General features: G+C 40.7%; 2 protein-coding genes and 1 long non-coding RNA gene across 17 annotated transcripts in view, besides 4 other annotated features; 1 reads left to right on the top strand and 2 right to left on the bottom strand.

The window, feature by feature from the left end:
* The window catches only part of MYH15 (myosin heavy chain 15), a 170705-nt gene extending 160702 nt beyond the window's left edge, over nucleotides 1-10003 (top strand). For both annotated transcript variants that reach the window (XM_011512559.3, NM_014981.3), the window contains 4 exons: nucleotides 1297-1401; nucleotides 5589-5684; nucleotides 6642-6776; nucleotides 8812-10003. In XM_011512559.3, coding sequence (XP_011510861.1) covers nucleotides 1297-1401; nucleotides 5589-5684; nucleotides 6642-6776; nucleotides 8812-8826 — 351 coding nt within the window. In that variant the 3' untranslated portion in view covers nucleotides 8827-10003. The remainder of the gene's footprint in view (nucleotides 1-1296; nucleotides 1402-5588; nucleotides 5685-6641; nucleotides 6777-8811) is intronic.
* Nucleotides 1208-1417: an enhancer, noted in NCBI's record as "active region_20219". NCBI's record gives its function as "activates an Ori minimal core promoter by ATAC-STARR-seq in GM12878 lymphoblastoid cells {active_cell/tissue: GM12878}" and the evidence as "EXISTENCE:reporter gene assay evidence [ECO:0000049][PMID:35858748]".
* Nucleotides 2278-2327: an enhancer, noted in NCBI's record as "active region_20218". NCBI's record gives its function as "activates an Ori minimal core promoter by ATAC-STARR-seq in GM12878 lymphoblastoid cells {active_cell/tissue: GM12878}" and the evidence as "EXISTENCE:reporter gene assay evidence [ECO:0000049][PMID:35858748]".
* Nucleotides 2317-8831, bottom strand: LOC124900545 (uncharacterized). Its single transcript, XR_007095998.1, has 2 exons — nucleotides 8720-8831; nucleotides 2317-3391 (listed from the first exon to the last, which is right to left on the bottom strand). It is a non-coding gene; the product is annotated as an uncharacterized LOC124900545 (long non-coding RNA).
* Nucleotides 3875-4169: a silencer, noted in NCBI's record as "tiled region #5857; HepG2 Repressive non-DNase unmatched - State 24:Quies, and K562 Repressive DNase matched - State 24:Quies". NCBI's record gives its function as "represses a minimal TATA promoter and a strong SV40 promoter by Sharpr-MPRA in HepG2 and K562 cells {active_cell/tissue: HepG2 | K562}" and the evidence as "EXISTENCE:reporter gene assay evidence [ECO:0000049][PMID:27701403]".
* Nucleotides 10004-12085: 2082 nt separating the features above from the next.
* HHLA2 (HHLA2 member of B7 family) overlaps nucleotides 12086-27230 on the bottom strand; it is an 81738-nt gene continuing 66593 nt past the window's right edge. For 7 of the 14 annotated variants that reach the window (XM_005247080.4, XM_011512367.4, NM_001282559.2 and 4 more), the window contains 3 exons: nucleotides 14571-14621; nucleotides 13814-13878; nucleotides 12086-13113 (listed from right to left, as the gene is read on the bottom strand). In XM_005247080.4, the coding sequence (XP_005247137.1) occupies nucleotides 13093-13113; nucleotides 13814-13878; nucleotides 14571-14621 (137 nt within the window). In that variant the 3' untranslated portion in view covers nucleotides 12086-13092. Of the gene's footprint in view, nucleotides 13879-14570; nucleotides 14622-27230 lie in introns of all 14 variants that reach the window. The other 7 variants (XM_047447369.1, XM_011512362.3, XM_011512364.3 and 4 more) reach the window with 2 other exon arrangements.
* Nucleotides 12383-13582: an enhancer, noted in NCBI's record as "CDK7 strongly-dependent group 2 enhancer chr3:108095636-108096835 (GRCh37/hg19 assembly coordinates)". NCBI's record gives its function as "activates an origin of replication core promoter dependent on BRD2, BRD4, P300/CBP, MED14 and CDK7 cofactors, with strong dependence on CDK7, by STARR-seq in HCT116 cells {active_cell/tissue: HCT116}" and the evidence as "EXISTENCE:reporter gene assay evidence [ECO:0000049][PMID:35650434]".

The following is a 27230-nucleotide window of genomic DNA, read 5'->3' as shown; positions in this document are numbered from 1 at the left end:
CAGTGATAACTCAGTAGCAACGACCAGCAATGAACTCCTTAATATCAGATAATACTAAGGAATTATGGTTAATATTCTTAAAGACACAACCATGATACCATCATTACCTATTAGAATGATATCCAATAGTATTTACAGGTGGAATTACATAATGTCTAGGATTTGCTTTAGTAGAGCAGTTTTTCCCCAAGGTGTTTTAATCACTTTAATCCCCCCCCAAAATTCTTAAGGAGTGCTTAAAAAAAGTAGAGGGGCCTGTAAGAGCTCACATCCCGACAGACAGAACTGTGTGTCAGGTTCCTATATAGCAGGTGTCAGAAGATTGCTTTAAATGGGCTTTATCCACAAGGAAGTCTCACACTTGCTCCCCTCCCTTCACGTTGCACCTCTCTGAGGAGGTACAGGAGGGAAGAATGGCTCCAGTGGGGAGTAAGAGGTGGGGTCAGATGTGCTAGGCACATTCTTGCCTCAGGGCACTGGCCTTCCCGTTCTCAAGAAGGCCCCTTGGAGAAGGTGGCATTGGCGTCAAGGAGAAGGCAGGAAAAGAGGATATCTGGGTAAGAGCCCCCTAGGCAGGGGGAGCAGCCAACATCAACTCCCTACTCCCTCTCCTGCCTTATTTCTCTCTATGGCACTTATCTCCATCAACATAGCCTACATTTTACTTTGTTTTGTCTGTCTGCTTCCCCTCATTAGAACGTATGCTAATTCAGGGAAGAGATTTTTGTTTGTTTTGTTCACTGCTGTATTGCTAGCACTGGGGTGTGGTATGTAGCAGGCACCTGCATTGAATGAATGTTAAGCTCATTTGTGTAACTCTATAAGGCAGCAGGCAGCTCAAGCAGGACTGGAGGGTTGTGGGTGACATACATGTGACATAAACTCAGCATCTGATTTCTTTAGAGAGTCAGAGCTGAACATAGGGAAAGCAGCTTAAGATTAGGTAGTATGTTGACCAAATCCTCAAATGGGCTACACATTGCTTACTCTCTATACTTACATATACATTCATACATACACTTTGGGTGTGGTTTTGTAATTCAAGAAAAAAGCTTCTCATATCTGTGTGAATTAGCCTTTCACATATTTCAGTCTAAATAGTTCTTTTATGAATCCATAAAAGATCTTACTTTTGGCGAGAGAGTTTTCCCAGAGACACTGTCCTGTTTAAGCACCAAAAACAGTGTGTGCATGTTCCCTTGACACTTTGCTGTCTTTCAAATGATTGTGCCAATCAGCAAATAGAATGCCAGACTTGGTGGCAGCGTCTGGTCTGAGGTCACGTTTTGGTTGCAGGTTCGTGAACTGGAAGGTGAACTGGAGGGTGAAATCCGTCGCAGTGCAGAGGCCCAGAGGGGAGCCCGCAGACTTGAGCGATGCATCAAAGAGCTGACCTATCAGGTACTCCAGGAAACCATTCCCTGTTTGTCTGGCTGGGCACTACCCTGCAGAAAAGTACTCCTTCAAGCCTGAAATGGCCTTCTGGGACTCCTGCCGTTCTCTCTTCATCTTTGTTCTCCTTCAGCAGTAGACACTGACTCACCCTCCCAGAGCTCCTGTGCTATTAGTGGTTTGGATCGGTCTCTTTTCAGAGCTCTCAGGAAACAAAATGTGAGGGGCAAGTTGCAATTAGAAGTGAAAAGCTATTTATACCATCTGGATTTTTTCACACATAGTGTTTGCAGTGCTTTCATAAAGATGCCTTCCTGTGAGTGGCTGAGTGAGAACAATGTGTAAATGAAGTTAATGGCAGAGGCTCGGGGTGGCTACCCAGCTGGCAGGTTACATGGGATGCTGATTCAATTGCAGCGGGGGGCATTTCCACTCCTATTTTCTGGTTGCGCAAACACTCAAGGCCACTGAGGACACTGTTGCTGGTGCCAGGTGGAAACAAAATACTAAAGAGAGACCTCTGAAGCTTTCTGAATCTAACCTGTTGACTAACATTGGTCTCAAGCAATAATTGAAAAGAGGTGGGCAGACTTCTTACAAGTGACTAATGCATTTCTAAAGTAAAAATATCATCATCTACATTTTCACTTTCAACCATTGCTTCCCTTTTCCTTCTAATGCAGTCAACATAGATTCTCTGATGGCAGAGGCACTGTATTTTTCTCCCCTCCAGGGTCTGGCATCCTCCTATCACACAGTAGATGTGTGATTTCCACTGTTGAACACAGATGCTAAAAGTCACTTTCCAGCCCTCTCACACTGCACATGATAGCTTGTTCCAGCTATCTCACACTGGACAGTAAGCTATCTCACACTGCACATGATAGCTTATCCCAGCCCTCTCACATTGCACATGACAGCTTATTCCAATACAAAGGCAAATTTATTTTAGGCACCCATTTTTACAGCTTCTTTGACAATGCCAATGCAAGATCTGCTACTCCTGATTCTGGTTCCTGAGGCTGAGTTGTTAAAGATGTCAAAGTCTTCTTCCCTTGCAGCAGGAAGGATAGATAAGAAAGCACAGCACTTCAGAAGCATCATCTTGGGCTAATTAAGATGAAACAAGCTACTTGCACAGCTCTTTTATTATTAAGCGGTTCCTTTTGTAAGATGAGTTAGTCTGACACTTCTTTAGACCATGCTAGGTATATCAAAGCCACTGAGAAGTGGGCCCATGGTATGTGTGGCTAAGTAGGTAAACACCTTGGGAACTTAAAAGTTTGCTATTCTACTTTGAGGAAGGTGGAGAAGCCACCCATGTTGATGACATGAAATGCTGCTTTAATGTCTGGATTTTCCTTTTTATTTTCCCATTGATTCTTCTTATTGTTTTATTCTGTAAACAACTTCATTATGGAACAAAAAACCAAAGTTATATATTTTTTTGGTTTTCATTGTCCCAAGGAATGCATTCTTGTTCTATCGTGTCTTACCTTTGTTTCTTCATTGTAATAATCCTAGTGTTTCTCATGTACTAGAATGAGGTACATTTATTAATTTCTTCCAAGTGTCTGCAGAATGCTTAGATAGGCCTATTTTCTGCCATCAAATCAGCTAATATCATTAGGCTAGACCCTGTAAGTTTAAAAAGACATTAGAGGACACTCCACATTTCCTGGTACTTGGTTTTGAAGTGTTCAAGGTTAACGCTGAGTCATCTCAATCATCAAAATAACCACCAGGACAAGGAGGCAGGGTGTTTGGTGATAGCCCATTCCTAGGTGCAATTAAAAATGTCATTTTGAAAGGGACACAAATATCATTTTCTTAGGAAAAGTCCTCTGGGAAGATTCTGCTACTGGAAAGGAGTCAAGTGTGGTCCCACTCCATGACAGTTCTATGGCTGGTCCCCATGCTGCATTTATCTTCTCCTTTATATCCCCTTAGCATTTGGAAACTTGTCCTATTTTCTCTCTCCAGCACCTAGAAAAATGTGCTATAAAGCAGAACATAAGATTAGGTACTTGTAACTGCTATAGAAGGTCAAGATAGTTCCTCTGCCCCTCACTCTCCACCCATCTACTCGGTTCTACCATCAACTGCCTCCTACATCCAGGAATCTGTATAGATATTATTTAATCTTTACACATCTAGTCAAGAATGTAGTATCATTTTTAGGGATAAGGAAATACAATTTGGTTAAGTTGCTGTGTTGAGAGGGTTCTCTAGGAACCAAATGCCAGGATAGAGTTAGATGTACAAGAGATCTATTAGAAGTAACATCTATGAAGGATGAAGATGCAAGCAAGCAGGATGGGGCAGAGACGTGAAGGGAGAGGCTGAGGGAGGAAGAGGAGAAGGGAAGAGCGTCAGACTATAGTGCAGCTCTGGGCAAGTCTCCAGCACAAAGATTGCCCAGAAAGGACTCCCATGTTGGGCAGAAATGGCCAGACACTAGTGACTTCACTATGCCCAGCTATTGCCTGGGGGCTGCCTGGGAAGTGTGTGGCCTCAATGCTAATGCTGTGGCGGGTCCCAAAGGCACTGCAGTTGGAGGTTATCAGGTAACTGCACTTCTCACAGCTGAATGTCAAGTTCTTTTCTTGATAGGAAATCTAGGACGTGCATAGTCATGGTCACCAGTTACTCAATGCCCTAGAGCTGAGATGGGAACCTAGGCCTAACATCAATGGCTTTGCCTTCCCATGTGGGAGGGACATCAGTAACATCAGCAACCACTTCTAGCTTTTTTCAGTTTTCTTCTGTGTGGCCTCCTTTATGACCAATTTACTCTCTTCTCAGTAAACTGATTATTAGCAATTAAACCTGTGTTGATTTTATAATTTACTGTAAGCACATAATGCTATGAGTCTTTTGAATTTTATAAACCTGACAAGTTGAGGGATAGGCAGATAAAAACAAAGAAGGGATTTTATTTGAACCAGACTTGTCTCAGTTCCCCAACTAGGTTCTTTCATATATATTCATCCCTGCCTCCTGATGGTTAAAATTAGTAATTATTAATATCTACTTTTACATGGTACTTTAAGGTGGTGGTGTGTGTGGCGGGGGAGCATTCCAGATGATGAGAATAGCTTGGCTAAACCTAAGGAGGACAGAGTGAGCAGGGGAGCTCTGGGGAAACAGGAGAATGTGACCTGGTTGGAGTGGGTTCGTGGTGGTGGGGGGAATGGAAGGTAAGTAGGGGGAACATTAAAGCTGCCAAAAAAGTTCATACTTGATGGAATAGGTCAAATGGAGCCAGAAAACAATTTTAAGCAGTAGTAGATCTTTCTTGATTAAATCAGCTTCTCAACCCTGAGCAAATTGAGATATTTTCTTCCTTTGAAAAGTACAATAGCTCCAATATGGAAATATTCCAGTTAAAGGGGCATGAGGAAAGAGGGGGCAGGCAGACCCCTATCTACCTGCCTGCCTCTAGCCTCCTCTCTCTCTGGAATACCAAAGGCTCTGCAGAGCACAGTTGAGAAACATTATCCCACCAGATTTCCTTTCTTCAGCCCGAGGCTGGATTGTAATTGAGGCAATGAGAATGGGCACACCATGGTCCCCACAGCTTGTAGAATCTTCCTTGCTATCTCCGCATCAGAATTCCAGAAAATTTATCTTTTCTATAGTTCTATTACTCAAAACCAAGAGTCAATTAGAAAGTTCAAAGGAATAGTTGTTTTGATTGGGGAGCAATTGGTTTTCAGTTTTGCATATGTGGCTTTTATAATAATGCACTTCATTCCTGCTAAATAAAGATACAGCTTTTTATTTAGCTATAGCTAAAGCTATTGCTGTTTTCGTCATCTGAATGCACCCCCACTACCACCACCTTAAAGTAAAATATAACAGTAGATAATTCACTACTAATTTTAAGTATACAGATATAGCTTCAGGCAGATATAGCTTGGTTGAGCTGGAAAGACTGAAGACCCAAACTGAACCTAATGGGTTTAACTCCCATTTCAGCAAAGGTTGATGGATCAGGACAAATGACTGTTAGTACTGACAGTTCTATTTATCAATTTCTTGGAACTTGGGTGAGTTAAACCCATTGTTAAAATCACAACTCTGAGATGATGTTTAATAAAGTTCCCTGATCCTTATTTCCCCACATGAGACTACACCAACGTAGACTGCTGGATCCTCTGAATCACCTTCCCATACATGCCTATGTATTGCAGGCAGAGGAAGACAAGAAGAATCTGAGCAGGATGCAAACTCAGATGGATAAACTTCAGCTAAAAGTGCAAAATTACAAGCAGCAAGTCGAGGTGGCGGTGAGTGCCTGGGGAAGTTTCAGCCTCATGGATTTCCCAGTGTTGTTTTGATTAAGGGAGATCTGTGACCCTGAGCTCAGCAAGCAGCTTGTCAGAGAGGACCTGCTCAGCTTAGAGTCTGCTCATCCTCAGTTTTTTTTCTCAAGTTAGAATTCTCACCCATGGCAAAAATGTGCGTGGCTTTTCCCTCCAGGAAGCCAGAGCTCTCTCCTTTACCTTTGTGGTTGCACCCAAACAGGTACACAACAAGAAATGAGATAGGTAAAAGCAGAGTGTCACGTAGGGAAGGCCAGTTTTGGGCAAGGTAGTCACCCTGGGGCCTCCCTCATCCCAAAACCTTGGGTAAACATAAACATGGTTCACAGTATTTGTTCTTGATGATCCTGGATATGGTTGTGGACAAAACCACCATAAATTGAAATGTACTTGCCATCCCTGGGTCAGTATCTATAACTACAGGGAATGTAATTGATAAGTGTCATATATATTGATTTATCCCTAATATTAACTCTTGAGGGGTTTTGATTATTTCAATGATTTGGCCTAAAACACTACCTGTTCTAGCCCAAGGTCTAATAATTACCTGTTGACCCATATAATTTTAAAGACAAGCCCCCTCTACCCAGGGGTAGAATAGGATGTTAAACTCATGACAAAATAGACAACTGTGGTTATTCTAGCACATTTTCAGTCTGTGAGAGCTTTACTGCATCCAGTTGATGAAAAGTGCCAACTAGGTTCTGAATTTCCAAGGAACAAAAGTTATAAAAAAATGGATCTTATACCTGCTAGAAAGTCTGAATCCTAATATATCATACCAAAATATGATATCCCATTCAATACTCAGAAGTTTAGATTCTTTTCACATTATTCAACTTTCTCATGTCAGAGCAGAAAAAAAAAACACCTGACTATATAGGCATGGAGATTTCTTTTTTTTTTTTTTTATTTTTATAGGAAACACAAGCCAATCAATACCTTTCCAAGTATAAGAAACAGCAACATGAGTTGAATGAAGTGAAGGAAAGGGCAGAGGTGGCAGAATCTCAAGTCAATAAACTCAAAATTAAAGCAAGAGAGTTTGGGAAAAAGGTATGGCAGATATTCAACTCTGTTCTAACTCTTTAATCATGTTTGTTTAGGGCTGATGTCATTGCATGGACCAGTATAACAAGAAATTTGTTTTTCTCCTTAAAAGCTTTTAAAAGATAAGAACAAAGGGTTCCAATAAAATCTTCCCATGTTTGCTAAATTATACTTGTCCTGGTAGATGAAATGCTAAGCATTTGAGTGACATGCACATTGTATTTATACTTTTCAAATGCTTACTTCCATGTTAACTTGCAGGATCTAAGATTTAGGGCCTGGATTCATTAGTGTAAAGTAGTCAGGAGTCCATGGAACAAAGTTGATTTTAAAAAGCACAGATGGATCGGCTCAAAATTCAGAATGAACTCTTTCCACAGTAGACACATACGTGACTTTGTACCATATCAATTTGGAGTCCAAGAGGGAAGATGTTTAAAATTGAGGCAGTGAAGGAAAACAAATACCAGAGTCTTGCTTTGTAGTTCTCTGCTTTATATTCCTGATTCTGCCCAAAAACACAGAGAAAGGATCTTTCTATGTCTCTTTGGTCCACAAAATGGCTCTTCTAATCTAATGGTAGAGGCCATTGCCCTGATTTTACTGGTAGAGTGACAAAGAACAATGTACTAAATGTTTGGTAGGGTCAGGTAGTCTTGGCTTCCTTGTTGAAATTTTCCCAGGAACACACAGTTTTTAAACGAGGTCTGGCTTTAGGCGAAAGGAATCAAAGGAGATTGGATAATGTGGTATTAGCTAATAGATTGCCTGAAATCACTGAGCATAGCTTCTGGCATAGTTAGGCACCATCATTTCATTATTATTATTTTTTTTTTAAACGTGGTGCATCACCAGCCCTCTTTCTCTGTGTTTTCGGGCAGAATCAGGAATATAAAGCAGAGAACTACAAAGCAAGACTCTTGCATTTGTTTTCCTTCACTGCCTCAATCTTAAACGTCTTCCCTCTTGGACTCCATATTGACATGGTAAAAAGTCACACATGTGTCTACTATGGAAAGAGTTCACTCCAAATTTTGAGCCGATCCATCTGTGCTTTTTAAAATCATCTTTGTTCCATGGACTCCTGATTATTTTATACAAATGAATCCAGGCCCTAACTGAATTACTAGTAACCCTGCAAGGTAAGTTGATAGGGTTGCCAATAATATGCATAAATACTACCTTAAGGGAGGTCAAAAGCATCTCTTTTGAAGGAGAGCCTAAGAGTTGGTTATATTGAATATACTTAGATCTAAATATAAGAAATATGAATCATTGAGAGACTCCAGAAATTTTTTACTGATGCCTGAATAGCTGCCTCAAGGATAAGTCCTATGCGAGAGGGGCAATTAAGTGGTTTGAACTTTGGCCTCAATTTGAGAAGTGTTGTGGCACTGGATTTAGGGTCTTCTCTGCAGAGCCCACCAGCAACCCCATGTAATGACTTGTTTAGGGAGGTGCTTCCCATGTGCTGCAATTGCATTCAGCTGCAGGAGGTTGAAGGGCCTTCAAAACAGATGCCATGCATTCGACTTTGTCACAGTTATTTTCAACAAAGAACAGAGTGAGTGAAGTAGAAATTGCTTTTGAGAGGCCAGAGAGGAATAGGAAAACCTTCCTTGGCAGTGCAATGACTAATTGTTTCCCCTTCACAGAAGAAAAGCCAAAAAATCCTCAACTGTCATATGCACAAGGAAGAGGTTTGCTGATAGAATTCTGTGTCAGGGCTGGGGAGCAAACTGGTGATGTGGCTGCAGAATCTTTCTCCTTATGGGGTTGGCAAAGGGGGGCGCTGCCTTCATTGGCAAGACAAGGCAGGCAGAAAATTGAGAGTGACCGAGCATGCCCTTGGGGTGAATTACCAGGGTCTGCTTTCTGTAATGCAGATAATTGCCTCAATTCCCTGCCTCCCTTTGAAGTTAATGAAGAGTTGGCTAAGGCCTGCTTACCTCTGGAAGGGACTCAGCTTGGTTCTGGACATGTGTTCCACTGGTGAAAATCACAGGAAATTCACAGAACACACTGACATTCTGTTTTTCAGGTTCAAGAAGAATAGCATCCCCTGCTTTGAAAGGACAACAGCTGGAGAAGTACAAGGAAGGTGCTGTTTCATGGCCAAAAACTTAGGTTGCATGGAAACATTTTTAAAAACATGTTTAAATTGCTTTTCACACCATATAAACAAGGCAATTAGAAAAATAATTAAAGGGAATATCATTGCTTCCACAGTTAATGGGGATTTTTTGATCCTCAAATGCAAGTAAACTACCTTCTAATGCTTCACATGACAGATTAAATAAATGGAAGAACCTTTTCAATTCTGATGTTTAAAAAATGAATAAATACTTGATCCTTTGTCCATATTTCCTCTTAATGGGTAGGACTCATAGAAGATGTCCTTAGACCAGTCACGCTTCATGGGGACTAGGGCATGTTGGTGAATGGTTTTTACTAAAGTTAGGCAACTTTGGCTTGATTCACCCCTAAATCTATGAATGTATATTGTGAGCCAGCAGTGGTAGAATGGAAGTCATAAGATCTCCTCAGCATTGTGATATAAATATAGCTATAGTTAGGCAATTTGAACATGTAGGCAAAACTCTCCTAATCAACACACATGTAGGCTATATGCTGGTACATGCTTTAAACATGGAGGTAACCCCACACGAGACATTCAGTGACAGGTAATATGCTGGATTTGTGCAGTACCGATTTGGCTCAGCTGGAGGAACATGTCCCGGAATTCCTCTCTCTCATGGTTCTGGATTGGAGTAGGTCATAAAGAAATTTGCATTAATTTGATCAGCAGCTATTTTATACTCATAAGGTCAGTGTACAGACCCAAGCATGGTGACAGCTTGAAAATATGACTCCAGGCCAAAAAGGGGAGCTAGAAGAGACCAGAGACAGCTCCCTGGACCCAGAGCTCTTCCAGCTCCTGCCAGCCTCCTCCTTCAGCTTTGCAAAGTACTGGCCAGGTGTGTGTGCAGCTCCATGGCAACCAGCATCAGCTTTTCCTGAGATCACACACAGCATTGCAGTGGAGGCCGTGAGACAGACATGGGTTCTGTTTGTTCTTATGGACTTCCCTTCATCCTTGCTGCATTCACAGTCGACCTACAGTGACTTCAGGCCCAGAACCAGATGCAGAGGGAACAGCCTGGCCTAGACTTCTCCACCAGCACCCACAATTGTGTAAGGCTGAAGCTCTATAATAAATCTTTATTCTGTCATTCTCTGATTCTGCCTCCCTGATCCAACCCTGACTCATATGGGTAGCTTGACGATTAATTCAGGGACTCAGTGGTATCAGAGGACCCAGGTTCATTCTTGTCGGAATCTCTTGTCGCCGTAAGAGGACTTCAGCAGTCCTGAGCATTTTCTCCCCATACGATAACCTGTCTCTTCTTAAAATGGAGAAACACTTTCCCAGAAACAGACCTCTGGAATAATTTTCCTCATACCCTAGTGAGCAGATTTCTTTATCTGCTTATGCTGAACCAGTCTAGTGGCAAGAGGACTGCAATTGTCAGGGTTGGCTCAGACAGATCAAAGTGGATGCTCTTGAAAAATCAGGGTACCATTTTGAGCAAGGTGAACCAAATTTGAGTTTTGTGGTTGGCGGAGAGGGATGCACAGCCACAGAGTGAACTAGCAGGTATGTGTGTCGGGCTGTATCCAAAGCAGTCGCTCCTTCTTACCATCGGTCTTAACGCAATGAGAAAACAACATGAAACATTTAACATGGAACTTTTCTAGGGTTTTTTTTTTTTCCTGGAATAGTAATTTTTTAAAACTTCAGTAAAAAATGTTTGGAATTATCCTTTAATAAGCCAATGTTTATATTCAGGAAACATCTCTATATCCCAAACCTTTTCTTAGAAATTTGCTGTTGTCATATTACCAATCCTGAAGTTAGGATGCTATTGTTTCTCCACACCCCAGGCACATACTCAGTAAAGTAAAACTTCAGCTTGGGGATGCATCCAGTTTTGTTATTAAGTATCATGTTCTCTCACTAGGACACAATTTTTAAAAAGGAACCAAGGCTAGGGGGAAGCAGAGATGGTAGACAAATATTATCTCAATGGAGTTTTTCTTCACAATGGAATTTTTTTAAAAGATATCTAAGTTATATTTATTTTTTTAAAAAAAATTTACTTTAAGTAAGTTCTGGGATACACGTGCAGAACATGCAGGTTTGTTACATAGGTATATGTGTGCCATGGTGGTTTGCTGTACCTATTGAACCGTCCTCTAGGTTCCCTCCCCCGCCCCCCACCCTGCAACAGGCCCTGGTGTGTGTTGTTCCCCTCCCTGTGTCCATGTGTTCTCCTTGTTCAGCTCCCACTTATGAGTGAGAACATGTGGTTTGGTTTTCTGTTCCTGTGTTAGTTTGCTGATAATGATGGCTTCCAGCTTCATCCATGTCCATGCAAAGGACATGATCTCATTCCTTTTCATGGCTGCATAGTATTCCATGGTGTTTGTATCACATTTTCTTTATCCAGTCTACCATTGATGGGTATTCGGGTTGGTTCCATGTCTTTACTATTGTAAATAGTGCAATAAACATACATGTGCATGTGTCTTTATAGTAGAATGATTTATAATCCTTTGGGTATATACCCAGTAATGGGATTGCTGGTTCAAATGGTATTTCTGTTTCTAGATCCTTGAGGAATCGCCACACAGTCTTCCACAATGGTTGAACTAATTTACATTCCCACCAAGAGTGTAAAGGCATTCCTGTTTCTCCACAGCCTTGCCAGCATCTATTGTTTGACTTTTTAATAATTAACATTCTGACTGGAATTCTTAATACTTTGCTATTTGTGATAACCCATCACAACATTGTAGCAAAAACAGAGTTAACTACATACAAGGAGAGGATTGTGAAACTGAGGTCAGATAAAATTGGACCAGGTGGCAGTTACACCACAATTCAGAATTTGCTTTCTCTTATAGAGTTGAAACCTTGATCTACTAAGTCACACAAAAGCCTGGTTATAGTGACAAGTTCACAAGCATTAACATTAGACTGTTTCTTTTATGTAAATTGATGACTAAAATTAAGGGAAACAGATTAGGTTAGCTGAGTTCTCCCTTCTCTTGCTTAAAAATTTATATGAAAATCTAAATTTATTAGAAGATTGATTAGCAATATGCCAATTGAGCCAGAAGAGTTGTTTAAATTATCTTCATGGCTAGTCACTCAACTATGCAAGCCTTGTGTGGTCAAGTGTAACCTAACTTCAGAGATTCTTATGTTCATAGTTTCATGTGCATCCATGTGAAGAGACCACCAAACAGGCTTTGTGTGAGCAATAAAGCTGTTTATTTCACCTGGGTGCAGGTGGGCTGAGTCCGAAAAGAGAGTCAGCGAAGGGTGATGGATTATCATTAGTTCTTATAGGTTTTGGGTTAGGCGGTGAAGTTAAGAGCAATGTTTTGTGGGCAGGGTGGATCTCACAAAGTACATTCTCAAGGGTGGGGAGAATTACAAAGAACCTTCTTAAGGGTGGGGAAGATTACAAAGTACCTTCTTAAGGGTGGGGGAGATTACAAAGTACATTGATCAGTTAGGGTGGGGCAGGAACAAATCACAATGGTGGAATGTCATCAGTTAAGGCTATTTTTACTTCTTTTGTGGATCTTCAGTTACTTTAGGCCATCTGGATGTATACGTGCAAATCACAGGGGATGCGATGCTTGGCTTGGGCTCAGAGGCCTGACACATAGGGCCCTTTTCCCTAGCAATCTTAAAGATACTGTCTTAGTCTTTGGTGCCCTAAGATTCATCCCAAATCGAGTTGGTTACCCTGATACAACCGTTCATATAAAACTAGACTAAAATACCTTGTCAAATCAATCATCTTGGTTTCCAGGCTCTGGTTTTTAACCTTTCCACTAAGGTGACTTTGGCTCTTACCTGCTCTCTCACCCATTATCAGTTGATCAGATTGGGAATCAACCCCTAGTGATGCATTTCTTCCAGATTCTTAGTGGAGAGCTCACTGTAACCTCCTGGGCTGACTGTAACAGAAATGTAAATGAATGAGACAGTTCTTTTCAAAGTTAAATTGGAATCCTTAACATCCAGGCATTTATACTCAATGCAGGTAGTGGGTCAGTGAATGATGTCTTGAAAAGTATGTCTTGAAAAATAAATGTGATACCAGAAAATGGTTACAACTCTTTGCAGTGGTAGAATTGTCTGCTCCGACAGGCCATTGCCTGGAATTGTGGTGAAGAAAGGGGAGATGAAGTCACTGGATATTAAGGATGCAGGTCATGAGTTGTCACAGTCTTCTCTCATTTCCTATACTTTTCCTGAAAGAGGCTAGAAGCAAGAAAAATAGACTCTAAATGTCTGTTGTTCAAGTCAGAATAACCATTTATATCTTAAATATTTATTGATAGTAGTGTTTTGGGGTGGGCGGCAAAAAGCTTTAGTCTATTGCTTGCATCTGAAATTAAAGATCCATGAGACCATTATAAAATAAGTCTGAGTCTTATCAGTTAATTTTAATCTCCCTACTAGCTGTTTCATGGTTTTTAACAGTGGAAAAAACAAGTTTACCACACTCCTGGCCCTTATTTATACTCTGATTAATGGAACACATAAATACTAAAAGGAATGCAGTAAAAAGGAAGTATACAATCAAACTATAATTTGCAAGTGAATTATAGTTGTGTTTCTTTCCACTTGTATACAATCCCATGTTTCATGCTTCTATCATAAGAATAAGTACATTGGCTCACCCTCATATGCACAATGCCATTGGAGATCTTCTCTACAAATAACAATAGGAGACAAGAAGAACAACCATGTATTTAAGCAAGTAGAGCCTGTTTAATTATAGACATTGGGAAAAGCCTAATTATATTTTTCGTGCTATATTATCCTGCAACCCCTGCTGCTGTTTTTTTCTGTATAAAAGTCTTGCTTGATGATATGTGAATCAGTCAGAACTTCAATTACCCTTTTAAAGAAGCATTTTTATACTGTATATGGTTTGATAAAGGAAATAATGCCTTACCACATTTTCTTCGCCATTATCGGGTGCACTGGGACAGCGCTCACCAGGAGGGACACAACATCTTTCTACAGGAAAAAAAAAGAGAACTTAAAAATAATTTCTTTGCAAACACCAAAATTCTCCCTTAGTCCTATCTCAATATAATCATGTTATTAGAATCATCTGAGTTACTCTCCCTGCATATCTTTAACAAACAACATGAAAAATGCATTCAGTGTAAAAACACATCATCAGAAGCAGCAGTAAATGTGTATGGTTGATCCAGGTGCTCCAAAGCCGGGGAATAAAGGCAGTTCAGTCAGCTCAGCAATTCCTGGCTCCTTGTGATCCTTGGCCTGGTTCCTACCAACTGCTAACAATGGAAATGTCATAGCCAAAGAGGGGATGAGAGTGATGGTTAAAGAAAAAGGGATATGTCATTTCTCAAAGAAGGTCTCCTTATGGACTTTCCTAAAATATGGCCCTTTAATACATATCTTAGACAAAGTACATTTTAAAACAGTAATAGAAAAGGGAATTTAAAAATAAAACATATGAACCACAGTCATGAAACTACAACCAGGGAGCTGGAGCTAGGAAAGGTTTTGTGGCTTTTCATATAACAGCTTCAAATATATTTTCAGCCCATCTCACTGCAGAAGTATGGAATATATCTATTTTTTAAAGTGGCCAATACTGTGACAGAGTTTTTGCCGATATCTTTTGACTGCTCCTCCAGAACCAGAATCCATTCTTCTCTCAGACATGGGAGGCTGACCTTGTTGGGCTCCATCAGCAGGGTGTCTGCTCCTCCTGGCTTCTAGCTGGGCTGTAGATCAGAGACAGGGAAGAGTGAAATTAGGTATTTACTCTCCCAGCTGTTTCCCTGTAAGGTCACCTTGGTATGGCTCTGTCCTTCAATTGAAAGTCACTCTCTGGTTCTTTGAAGGGTTTTTCGTGTGTCTATCTCCTTCATTTCTGCTCTGATCTTAGTTATTTTTTGTCTTCTGCTAGCTTTTGAATTTGTTCGCTCTTGCTTCTCTAGTTTTTTAATTTTTTTACTTGATGTACAATTTATTTTTATTTATTTTGTATTATTATTATTCTTTTAAGTTTTAGGGTACATGTGCACAACATACAGGTTTGTTACATATGTATACATGTGCCATGTTGGTGTGCTGCACCCATTAAATCATCATTTAGCATTAGGTATATCTCCTAATGCTATCCCTCCCCCCTCCCCTACCCCACAAGAGTCCCTGGTGTGTGATGTTCCCCTTCCTGTGTCCATGTGTTCTCATTGTTCAATTCCCACCTATGAGTGAGAATATGCCGTGTTTGGTTTTTTGTCCTTGCGATAGTTACTGAGAATGATGATTTCCAATTTCATCCATGTCCCTACAAAGGACATGAACTCATCATTTTTTATGGCTGCATAGTATTCCATGGTGTATATGTGTCACATTTTCTTAATCCAGTCTATCATTGTTGGACATTTGGGTTGGTTCCAAGTCTTTGCTATTGTGAATAGTGCCGCAATAAACATACGTGTGCATGTGTCTTTATAGCAGCATGATTTATAGTCCTTTGGGTATATACCCAGTAATGGGATGGCTGGGTCAAATGGTATTTCTAGTTCTAGATCCCCGAGGAATCGCCACACTGACTTCCACAATGGTTGAACTAGTTTACAGTCCCACCAACAGTGTAAAAGTGTTCCTATTTCTCCACATCCTCTCCAGCACCTGTTGTTTCCTGACTTTTTAATGATCGCCATTCTAACTGGTGTGAGATGGTATCTCATTGTGGTTTTGATTTGCATTTCTCTGATGGCCAGTGATGGTGAGCATTTTTTCATGTGTTTTTTGGCTGCATAAATGTCTTCTTTTGAGAAGTGTCTGTTCATATCCTTTGCCCACTTTTTGATGGGGTTGTTTGTTTTTTTCTTGTAAATTTGTTTGAGTTCATTGTAGATTCTGGTTATTAGCCCTTTGTCAGATGAGTAGGTTGCGAAAATTTTCTCCCATTCTGTAGGTTGCCTGTTCACTCTGATGGTAGTTTCTTTTGCTGTGCAGAAGCTCTTTAGTTTAATTAGATCCCATTTGTCAATTTTGTCTTTTGTTGCCATTGCTTTTGGTGTTTTAGACATGAAGTCCTTGCCCATGCCTATGTCCTGAATGGTATTGCCTAGGTTTTCTTCTAGGGTTTTTACGGTTTTAGGTCAAACATGTAAATCTTTAATCCATCTTGAATTAATTTTTGTATAAGGTGTAAGGAAGGGATCCAGTTTCAGCTTTCTACATATGGCTAGCCAGTTTTCCCAGCACCATTTATTAAATAGGGAATCCTTTCCCCATTGCTTGTTTTTGTCAGGTTTGTCAAAGATCAGATGGTTGTAGATATGCGGCATTATTTCTGAGGGCTCTGTTCTGTTCCATTGGTCTATATCTCTGTTTTGGTACCAGTACCATGCTGTTTTGGTTACTGTAGCCTTGTAGTATGGTTTGAAGTCAGGTAGCATGATGCCTCCAGCTTTGTTCTTTTGGCTTAGGATTGACTTGGCAATGCGGGCTCTTTTTTGGTTCCATATGAACTTTAAAGTAGTTTCTTCCAATTCTGTGAAGAAAGTCATTGGTAGCTTGATGGGGATGGCATTGAATCTATAAATTACCTTGGGCAGTATGGCCATTTTCACGATATTGATTCTTCCTACCCATGAGCATGGAATGTTCTTCCATTTGTTTGTATCCTCTTTTATTTCATTGAGCAGTGGTTTATAGTTCTCCTTGAAGAGGTCCTTCACATCCCTTGTAAGTTGGATTCCTAGGTATTTTATTCTCTTTGAAGCAATTGTGAATGGGAGTTCACTCATGATTTGGCTCTCTGTTTGTCTGTTATTGGTGTATAAGAATGCTTGTGATTTTTGCACATTGATTTTGTATCCTGAGACTTTGCTGAAGTTGCCTATCAGCTTAAGGAGATTTTGGGCTGAGACGATGAGGTTTTCTAGATATACCGTCATGTCATCTGCAAACAGGGACAATTTGACTTCCTGTTTTCCTAATTGAATACCCTTTATTTCCTTCTCCTGCCTGATTGCCCTGGCCAGAACTTCCAACACTATGTTGAATAGGAGTGGTGAGAGGGCATCCCTGTCTTGTACCAGTTTTCAAAGGGAATGCTTCCAGTTTTTGTCCGTTCAGTATGATATTGGCTGTGGGTTTGTCACAGATAGCTCTTATTATTCTGAGATACGTCCCCTCAGTACCTAATTTATTGAGAGTTTTTAGCATGAAGGCGTTGTTGAATTGTGTCAAAGGCCTTTTCTGCATCTATTGAGATAATCATGTCGTTTTTGTCTTTGGTTCTGTTTATATGCTGGATTACGTTTATTGATTTTCATATGTTGAACCAGCCTTGCATCCCAGGATGAAGCCCACTTGATCATGGTGGATAAGCTTTTTGATGTGCTGCTGGATTCGGTTTGCCAATATTTTATTGAGGATTTTTGCATCAATGTTCATCAAGGATATTGGTCTAAAATTCTCTTTTTTGGTTGTGTCTCTGCCAGGCTTTGCTATCAGGATGATGCTGGCCTCATAAAATGAGTTAGGGAGGATTCCCTCTTTTTGTGTTGATTGGAATAGTTTCAGAAGGAATGGTACCAGCTCCTCCTTTGTACCTCTGGTAGAATTCGGCTGTGAATCCATCTGGTCCTGGACTATTTTTGGTTGGTAAGCTATTGATTATTGCCACAATTTCAGAGCCTGTTATTGGTCTATTCAGAGATTCAACTTCTTCCTGGTTTAGTCTTGGGAGAGTGTATGTGTCAAGGAATTTATCCATTTCTTCTAGATTTTCTAGTTTATTCACGTAGAGGTGTTTATAGTATTCTCTGATGGTAGTTTGTATTTCTGTGGGATCAGTGGTGATATCCCCTTTATCATTTTTTATTGCATCTATTTGATTCTTCTCTCTTTTCTTCTTTATTAGTCTTGCTAGCGGTCTATCAATTTTGTTGATCTTTTCAAAAAACCAGCTCCTGGATTCATTGATTTTTTTGAAGGGTTTTTTGTGTCTCTATTTCCTTCAGTTCTGCTCTGATTTTAGTTACTTCTTGCCTTCTGCTAGCTTTTGAATGTGTTTGCTCTTGCTTCTCTAGTTCTTTTAATTGTGATGTTAGGGTGTCAATTTTGGATCTTTCCTGCTTTCTCTTGTGGGCATTTAGTGCTATAAATTTCCCTCTACACACTGCTTTGAATGTGTCCCAGAGATTCTGGTATGTTGTGTCTTTGTTCTCATTGGTTTCAAAGAACATCTTTATTTCTGCCTTCATTTCATTATGTACCCAGTCGTCATTCAGGAGCAGGTTGTTCAGTTTCCATGTAGTTGAGCAGTTTTGAGTGAATTTCTTAATCCTGAGTTCTAGTTTGATTGCACTGTGGTCTGAGAGACAGTTTGTTATAATTTCTGTTCTTTTACATTTGCTGAGGAGTGCTTTACTTCCAATTATGTGGTCAATTTTGGAATAGGTGTGGTGTGGTGCTGAAAAGAATGTATATTCTGTTGATTTGGGGTGGAGAGTTCTGTAGATGTCTGTTAGGTCCACTTGGTGCAGAGCTGAGTTCAATTCCTGGATATCCTTGTTAACTTTCTGTCTCATTGATCTGTCTAATGTTGACAGTGGGGTGTTAAAGTCTCCCATTATTATTGTGTGGGAGTCTAAGTCTCTTTGTAGGTCACTAAGGACTTGCTTTATGAATCTGGGTGCTCCTGTATTGGGTGCATATATGTTTAGGATAGTTAGCTCTTCTTGTTGAGTTGATCCCTTTACCATTATGTAACGGCTTTCTTTGTCTCTTTTGATCTTTGTTGGTTTAAAGTCTGTTTTATCAGAGACTAGGATTGCAACTCCTGCATTTTTTTGTTTGTCATTTGCTTGGTAGATCTTCCTCCATCCCTTAATTTTGAGCCTATGTGTGTCTCTGCACGTGAGATAGGTTTCCTGAATACAGCACACTGATGGGTCTTGACTGTTTATCCAATTTGCCACTCTGTGTCTTTTAATTGGAGCATTTAGCCCATTTACATTTAAGGTTAATATTGTTATATGTGAATTTGATCCTGTCATTATGATGTTAGCTGGTTATTTTGCTCGTTAGTTGATGCAGTTTCTTCCTAGCCTCGATGGTCTTTACAATTTGGCCTGTTTTTGCAGTGGCTGGTACCGGTTGTTTTTTCCATGTTTAGTGCTTTCTTCAGGAGCTCTTTTAGGGCAGGCCTGGTGGTGACAAAATCTCTCAGCATTTGCTTGTCTGTAAAGGATTTTGTTTCTCCTTCACTTATGAAGCTTAGTTTGGCTGGATATGAAATTCTGGTTGAAAATTCTTTTCTTTGAGAATGTTGAATATTGGCCCCCACTCTCTTCTGGCTTGTAGAGTTTCTGCCAAGAGATCAGCTGTTAGTCTGATGGGCTTCCCTTTGTGGGTAACCCGACTTTTCTCTCTGGCTGCCCTTAACATTTTTTCCTTCATTTCAACTTTGGTGAATCTGCCAATTATGTGTCTTGGAGTTGCTCTTCTCGAGGAGTATCTTTCTGGCGTTCTCTGTATTTCCTGAATTTGAGTGTTGGCCTGCCTTGCTAGATTGCAGGATATTATCCAGGAGAACTTCCCCAGAGTGTTTTCCAGCTTGGTTCCATTCTCCCCATCACTTTCAGGTACACCAATCAGACGTAGATTTAGTCTTTTCACATAGTCCCATATTTCTTGGAGGCTTTGTTCATTTCTTTTAATTCTTTTTTCTCTAAACTTCTCTTCTCGCTTCGTTTCATTCATGTCATCTTCCATCACTGATACCCTTTCTTCCAGTTGATCGAATCAGCTACTGAGGCTTGTGAATTCGTCATGTAGTTCTCGTGCCTTGGTTTTCAGCTCCATCGGGTCCTTTAAGGACTGCTCTGCATTGGTTATTCTAGTTAGCCATTCACCTAATTTTTTTTCAAGGTTTTTAATTTCTTTGCCATGGGTTCGAACTTCCTCCTTTAGCTCAGAGTAGTTTGATCGTCTGAAGCCTTCTTCTCTCAACTCGTCAAAGTCATTCTCCGTCCAGCTTTGTTCCGTTGCTGGTGAGGAGCTGCGTTCCTTTGGAGGAGGAGAGGCGCTCTGATTTTTAGAGTTTCCAGTTTTTCTGCTCTGTTTTTTCCCCATCTTTGTGGTTTTATCTACCTTTGGTCTTTGATGATGGTGACGTACAGATGGGTTTTTGGTGTGGATGCCCTTTCTGTTTGTTAGTTTTCCTTCTAACAAACAGTCAGGACCCTCAGCTGCAGGTCTTTTGGAGTTTGCTGGAGGTCCACTAAACAGGTCCACCCAGACACTGTTTGCCTGGGTATCAGCAGTGGTGGCTGCAGAACAGCGGATACTTGTGAACTACAGATGCTGCTGCCTGATCGTTCCTCTGGAAGTTTTGTCTCAGAGGAGTACCCGGCCGTGTGAGGTGTGAGTCCGCCCCTACTGGGGGTTCCCCCCAGTTAGGCCACTCGGGGGTCAGGGACCCACTTGAGGAGGCAGTCTGCCCGTTCTCAGATCTCAAGCTGCGTGCTGGGAGAACTACTACTCTCTTCAAAGCTGTCAGACAGGGACATTTAAGTCTGCAGAGGTTACTGCTGCCTTTTGTTTGTCTGTGCCCTGCCCCCAGAGGTGGAGTCTACAGAGGCAGGCAGGCCTCCTTGAGCTGTGATGGGCTCCACCCAGTTCGAGCTTCCTGGCTGCTTTGTTTACCTACTCAAGCCTCGGCAATGGTGGGTGCCCCTCCCCCAGGCTCGCTGCTGCCTTGCAGTTTGATCTCAGACTGCTGTGCTAGCAATGAGCGAGACTCCGTGGGTGTAGGACCCTCTGAGTCATGCACAGGATATAATCTCCTGGTGTGCCATTTGTTAAGCCCATTGGAAAAGCGCAGTATTAGGGTGGGAGTGACCCAATTTTCCAGATGCCGTCTGTCACCCCTTTCTTTGACTAGGAAAGGGAATTCCCTGACCCCTTGTGCTTCCTGGGTGAGGTGATGCCTCACCCTGCTTTGGCTCACACATGGTGCACTGCACCCACTGTCCTGCACCCACTGTCAGGCACTCCCCAGTGAGATGAACCTGGTACCTCAGTTGGAAATGCAGAAATCACCCGTCTTCTGCGTCGCTCACGCTGGGAGCTGTAGACCGGAGCTGTTCCTATTCGGCCATCTTGGCTCCTCCCCCCGTGAATCTCTAGTTTTTTTCATTGTGATGTTAGGGTGTTGATTTTAGGTCTTTCCTGCTTTCTGATGTGGGCATTTGGTGCTACAAATTTCCCTCTCAACACTGCTTTAGCTGCGTCCCAGAGATTCTGGTACGTTGTGTCTTCATTCTCATTGGTTTCAAAGAACTTATTTATTTCTGCCTTAATTTAATTATTTACCCAGTAGTCATTCAGGAGCAGGTTGTTCAGTGTCCTTGTAGTTGTGTGGTTCTGAGTGAGTTTCTTAATCCTGAGTTCTAATTTGATTGCACTGTAGCCTGAGAGACTGTTTTGATTTCCATTCTTTTCATTTGCTAAGGAGTGCCTTACTTCCAATTATGTGGTCGATTTTAGAATAAGTGCTATATGGTGCTGAGAAGAATGTATATTCTGTTGATTTGGGGTGGAGAGTTCTGTAGATGTCCATTAGGTCCGCTTAGTCCAGAGCTGAGTTCAAGTTCTGAATATCCTTGTTAATTTTCTGTCTCATTGATCTAATATTGACAGTGGGGTGTTAAACTCTCCCACTATTATTGTGTGAGAGTCTAAGTCTCTTTGTAGATCTCTAAGAACTTGCTTTATGAATCTGGATGCTCCTGTATTGGGTGCATATATATTTAGGATAGTTAGCTCTTCTTGTTGCATTGATCCCTTTACCATTATGTAACGTCTTTGTCTTTTTTGATCTTTGTTGGTTTAAAGTCTGTTTTATCAGAGACTAGAATTGCAACCCCTGCTTTTTTTTTTTTTTTTTTTTTTTTTTTTTTTTTTTGCTCTTCGTTTGCTTGGTAAATATTCCTCCATCCCTTTATTTTGAGCCTATGTGTGTCTTTGCATGTGAGATGGGACTCCTGAATACAGCACACTGATGGGTCTTGACTCTTTATCCAATTTGCCAGTCTGTGTCTTTTAACTGGGGCATTTAGTCCATTTACATTTAAAGTTAATATTGTTAAGTGTGAATTTGATCCTGTCATCATGATGCTGGCTAGTTATTTTGCACATTAGTTGAGGCAGTTTCCTCATAGTGTTGTTGGTCTTTATATTATGGTGTTTTTTTGCAGTGGCTGGTACTGGTTTTTCCTTTCTGTATTTAGTGCTTCCTTCAGGAGCTCTTGTAAGGCAGGCCTAGTGGTGACAGAATCCCTCAGCATTTGCTTGTCTGTAAAGGATTTTATTTCTCCTTCACTCATGAAGCTTAATTTGGCTGGTTATGAAATTCTGGGTTGAAAATTCTCTTCTTTAAGAATGTTAAATATTGGCCCCCACTCTCTTCTGGCTTGTAGGGTTTCTGCAGAGATATCCATTGTTAGTCTGATGGACTTCCCTTTGTAGGTAACCTGACCTTTCTCTCTGGCTGCCCTTAACATTTTTTTCCTTTGTTTCAACCTTGGAGAATCTGACAATTATGTGTCTTGGGGTTGCTCTTCTCAAGGAGTATTTTAGTGGTGTTCTCTGTATGTCCTGAATTTGAATAGTGGCTTGTCTTGCTAGGTTGGAGAAGTTCTCCTGGATAATATCCTGAAGTGTGTTTTCCAACTGGGTTCCATTCTCCCCATCACTTTCAGGGACCCCAATCAATCACCGGTTTGGTCTTTTCACATAGTACCATATTTGTTGGAGGCTTTGTTCATTCCTTTTCACTCTTTTTTCTCTAATCTTGTCTTCACACCTTATTTCAGTAAGTTGATCTTCAGTCTCTGATATCCTTTCTTCTGCTTGATCGATTCGGCTACTGATACTTGTGTATGCTTCACGAGTTCTCATGCTGTGTTTTTCAGCTCCATCAGGTCATTTATATTCTCCTCTAAACTGGTTATTCTAGTTAGCAGTTCCTGTAACCTTTTATCAAGGTTCTTAGCTTCCTTACATTGGGTTAGAACATGCTCCTTTAGCTCAGAGGAGTTTGTTATTACCCACCTTCTGAAGCCTACTTCTGTCAATTTGTCAAACTCTTTCTCTGTCCAATTTTGTGCTCTTGCTGGAGAGGAGTTACAATCATTTGGAAGAGAAGAAGCATTCTGGTTTTTTAAATTTTCAGCATTTTTGTGCTGGTTTTTCCTCATCTTCATTTATTTATCTACCTTTGATCTTTGAGGCTGATGACCTTTGGATGTGGTTTTGTATGGGGGTCCTTTGTGTTGATGTTGATGTTACTGCTTTCTGTTTGTTAGTTTTTCTTCTAACAGTCAGGACCCTCTTCTGCAGGTCTGCTGCAGTTTTCTGGAGGTCCACTCCAGTTCCTATTTGCCTGGGTATCACCAGTGGATGCTGCGGAACAGCAAAGATTGCTGCCTGCTCCTTCCTCTGGAGGCTTTGTCCCAGAGGGGCACCAGCCTGATGCCAGCTGGAGATCTCCTGTATGAGGTGTCTGTCAACCCAGGAGCTGCTATTTTGAAAAGATTAACAAAATAGATAGACTGCTAGCCAGACTAATAAAGAAGAAAAGAAAGAAGAATCAAACAGACACAATAAAAAATGATAAAGGGGATATCACAACTGATCCCACAGAAATACAAGCTACTATTAGAGAATACTATAAACACCTCTAAGCAAATAAACTAGAAAATCTAGAAGAAATAGATAAATTCCCGGACACCCTCCTAAGACTAAACCAGGAAGAAGTCGAATCTCTGAATAAACCAATAACAAGTTCTGAAATTGAAGCAGTAATTAATAACCCACCAGCCAAAAAAGCCCAGGACCAGACAGATTCACAGCCGAATTCTACCAGAGGTACAAAGAGGAGCTGGTACCATTCCTTCTGATACTATTCCAAACAACAGAAAAGGAGGGACTCCTCCCTAACCATTTTATAAGGCCAGCATCATCCTGATTCCAAAACCTGACAGAGATACAATAAAAAATGAAAACTTCAGGCGAATATCCCTGATGAACATCAAAGCGAAAATCCTCAATAAAATACTGGCAAACTGAATCCACAGCCCATCAAAAAGCTTATGCACCATGATAAAGTTGGCTTCATCCTTGGGATGCAAGGCTGGTTCAACATATGCAAATCAATAAATGTAATCCATCACATAAACAGAACCAGTGACAAAAACCACATGATTATCTCAATAGATGCAGAAAAGGCCTTCAATCAAATTCAACACCACTTCATGCTAAAAACTCTCAATAAACTGGGCATTGATGGAACATATCTCAATATAATAAGAGCTATTTATGACAAACCCATAGCCAATATCATACTGAATGGGCAAAAGCTGGAAGCATTCCCCTTGAAAACCGGCGCAAGACAAGGATGCCTTCTCTCACCATAGTTCAACATAGTATTGGAAGTTTTGGCCAGGGCAATCAGGCAAGAGACATAAATAGAGTATTCAAATAGGAACGGAGGAAGTCAAATTGTCTCTGTTTGCAGATGATGTCATTGTATATTTAGAAATCCCCATTGTCTCAGCCCAAAATCTCCTTAAGCTGATAAGCAACTTCAGTAAAGTCTCAGGATACAAAATCAATGTGCAAAAATCACAAGCATTCCTATACACCAATAACAGACAAACAGAGACCCAAATCATGAGTGAACTCCCATTCACAATTGCTACAAAGAAGATAAAATACCTAGGAATACAACTTACAAGGGATGTGAAGGACCTCTTCAAGGAGAACTACAAACCACTGCTCAAGGAAATAAGAGAGGACACAACCAAATGGAAAAAAATTTCATACTTATGAATATCGTGAAAATGGCCATACTGCCCAAAGTAATTTATAGATTCAATGCTATTCTCATCAAGCTACCATTGACTTTCTTCACAGAACTAGAAAAAAGTACTTTAAATTTCATATGGAACCAAAAAACAGCCCATATAGCCGAGACAATCCTAAGCAAAAGAACATAGCTGGAGGCATCATGCTGCCTGACTTCAGACTATACCACAAGGCTACAGTAACCAAAACAGCATAGTACTGGTACCAAAACAGATACATAGACCAATGGAGCAGAACACAGGCCTCAGAAATAACACCACACATCTACAACCATTCGATCTTTGACAAACCTGACAAAAACAAGCAATGGGGAAAGGATTCCCTGTTTAATAAATGGTGCTGGGCAAACTTGCTAGCCATATGCAGAAAATAGAAGCTAGACCCCTTCCTTACACCTTATACAAAAATTAATTCAAGGTGGATTAAAGACTTAAACATAAAACTTAAAACCATAAAAACCCTAGAAGAAAACCTAGGCAATATCATTCAGGACATAGACATGGACAAGGACTTCATGACTAAAACACCAAAAGCAATTGCAACAAAAGCCAAAATTGACAAATGGGATCTACTTAAACTAAAGAGCATCTGCTCAGCCATAGAAACTATCATCAGAGTGAGCAGGCAACCTACAGAATGGGAGAAAATTTCTGCAGTCTACCCATCTGACAAAAGTCTAATATCCAGAATCTAGAAGGAACTGAAACAAATTTACAAGAAAAAAATAAACAGCCCCATCAAAAAGTGGGTGAAGGATATGAACAGACACTTCTCAAAAGAAGACATTTATGCAGCCAACAAACATATGAAAAAGAGCACCTCATCACTGGTCATTAGAGAAATGCAAATCAAAACCACAATGAGATACCATCTCATACCAGTTAGAATGGTGATCATTAAAAAGTCTGGAAACAACAGATGCTAGAGATCAGATATGGAGAAATAGGAATGCTTTTACACTGTTGGTGGGAGAGTAAATTAGTTCAACCATTGTGGAAGACAGTGTGGCGATTCCTCAAGGATCTGGAACCAGACATACCATTTGACCCAGCAATCCCATTACTGGGTATATACCCAAAAAATTATAAATCATTCTACTATGAAGACACATGCACATGTATGTTTATTGCAGCACTATGCACAATAGCAAAGACTTGGAACCAACCCAAATGCCCATCAAGGATAGACTGGATAAAGAAAATGTGGCACATATACACCATGGAATACTATGCAGTCATAAAAAAGAATGAGTTCATGTGCTTTGCAGGGACATGGATGAAGCTGGAAACCATCATTCTCAGCAAACTATCACAAGGACAGAAAACCAAACACCGCATATTCTCACTCATAGGTGGGAATTGAACAATGAGATCACTTGGACACAGGGCGGGGAACATCACACACTGGGGCCTGTTGGAGGATGAGGGTAAAGGGGAGGGAGGGCATCAGGTCAAATACCTAATGTATGTGGTGCTTAAAACCTAGATGACAGGTTGATAGGTGCAGCAAACCACCAGGGCACATGTATACCTATGTAACAAACCTGCATGTTCAGCACATGTATCCCAGAACTTAAAAAGAAAGAAAAAAAAAAAAAGAAGTAAGTCACTCTCCTTACAAGGCAACTAATCTTACGTGACTCTCTCCTTCCAAGTTTTGGGAACTGCTCTCTGTCCTTGTCCCTTCAAGTTTAAGTTTGCTAGTGATTCGGGTGCTCCCAGCCATGAATATACTGTCTCATAAGTTCTTTATCCAGTTTTGAGTGTGCCATGTGTTTTCAGTTGAGAACTGACTTATGCAGACTTCCACTAAAGAAACTAAACTATCATTCTTGAGTAGGATGTAGCACCACCTCCCATAATTTGAACCTAATCCAATCACAAATATCAGTATATTAGGTCAACGGTTGATCTTCGTGGACAGGCTAGACTGCCTGTGGTCTTACTCCATCTGGCCAGCCAAGGGACAGGAACTATCCTGCTTATTAGTACGAATGATCACAGGGCTAGAATTGGTGAAATGCTTGCTCTCCATTGCCCCTAAAACTGTATCTTCAATAATAGTTTCTGCTATAACCCTAATCTCCTAACTTCAGCAGGGGCAATAGCCAAATATCAACCAGAAGGACAGATAAAAGAGACATAGGATCTATCTCAAGTTCCCAGGACACCCAGAGCCTTCTCAGGGGGATAATGGAATAAGGGAGGGCTTCTGGGGGCCTCAACCTGCCTCTACCATTAGCTGGCTTGGTGATATTAAATGATCCACCTAAATCTGTTTCACATGCCTACTTGGCACTTAAGCTAACTTCCTGGATTCCTGTTTCCTGATCTGTAAAATGTGGAGATCAACTAGATCTAAGTTTTGCCCAGATGCTCTCTAGCTCAAAATTCTGGTACTAAAAGCAAAGTACTTTAGGAAAGTATTCCCTA

This window comes from Homo sapiens, chromosome 3 (assembly GCF_000001405.40).
Source record: "Homo sapiens chromosome 3, GRCh38.p14 Primary Assembly".
In the NCBI taxonomy this organism is placed as follows: Eukaryota; Metazoa; Chordata; class Mammalia; order Primates; family Hominidae; genus Homo; species Homo sapiens.
This window is presented reverse-complemented; position numbering and strand designations above follow the sequence as displayed.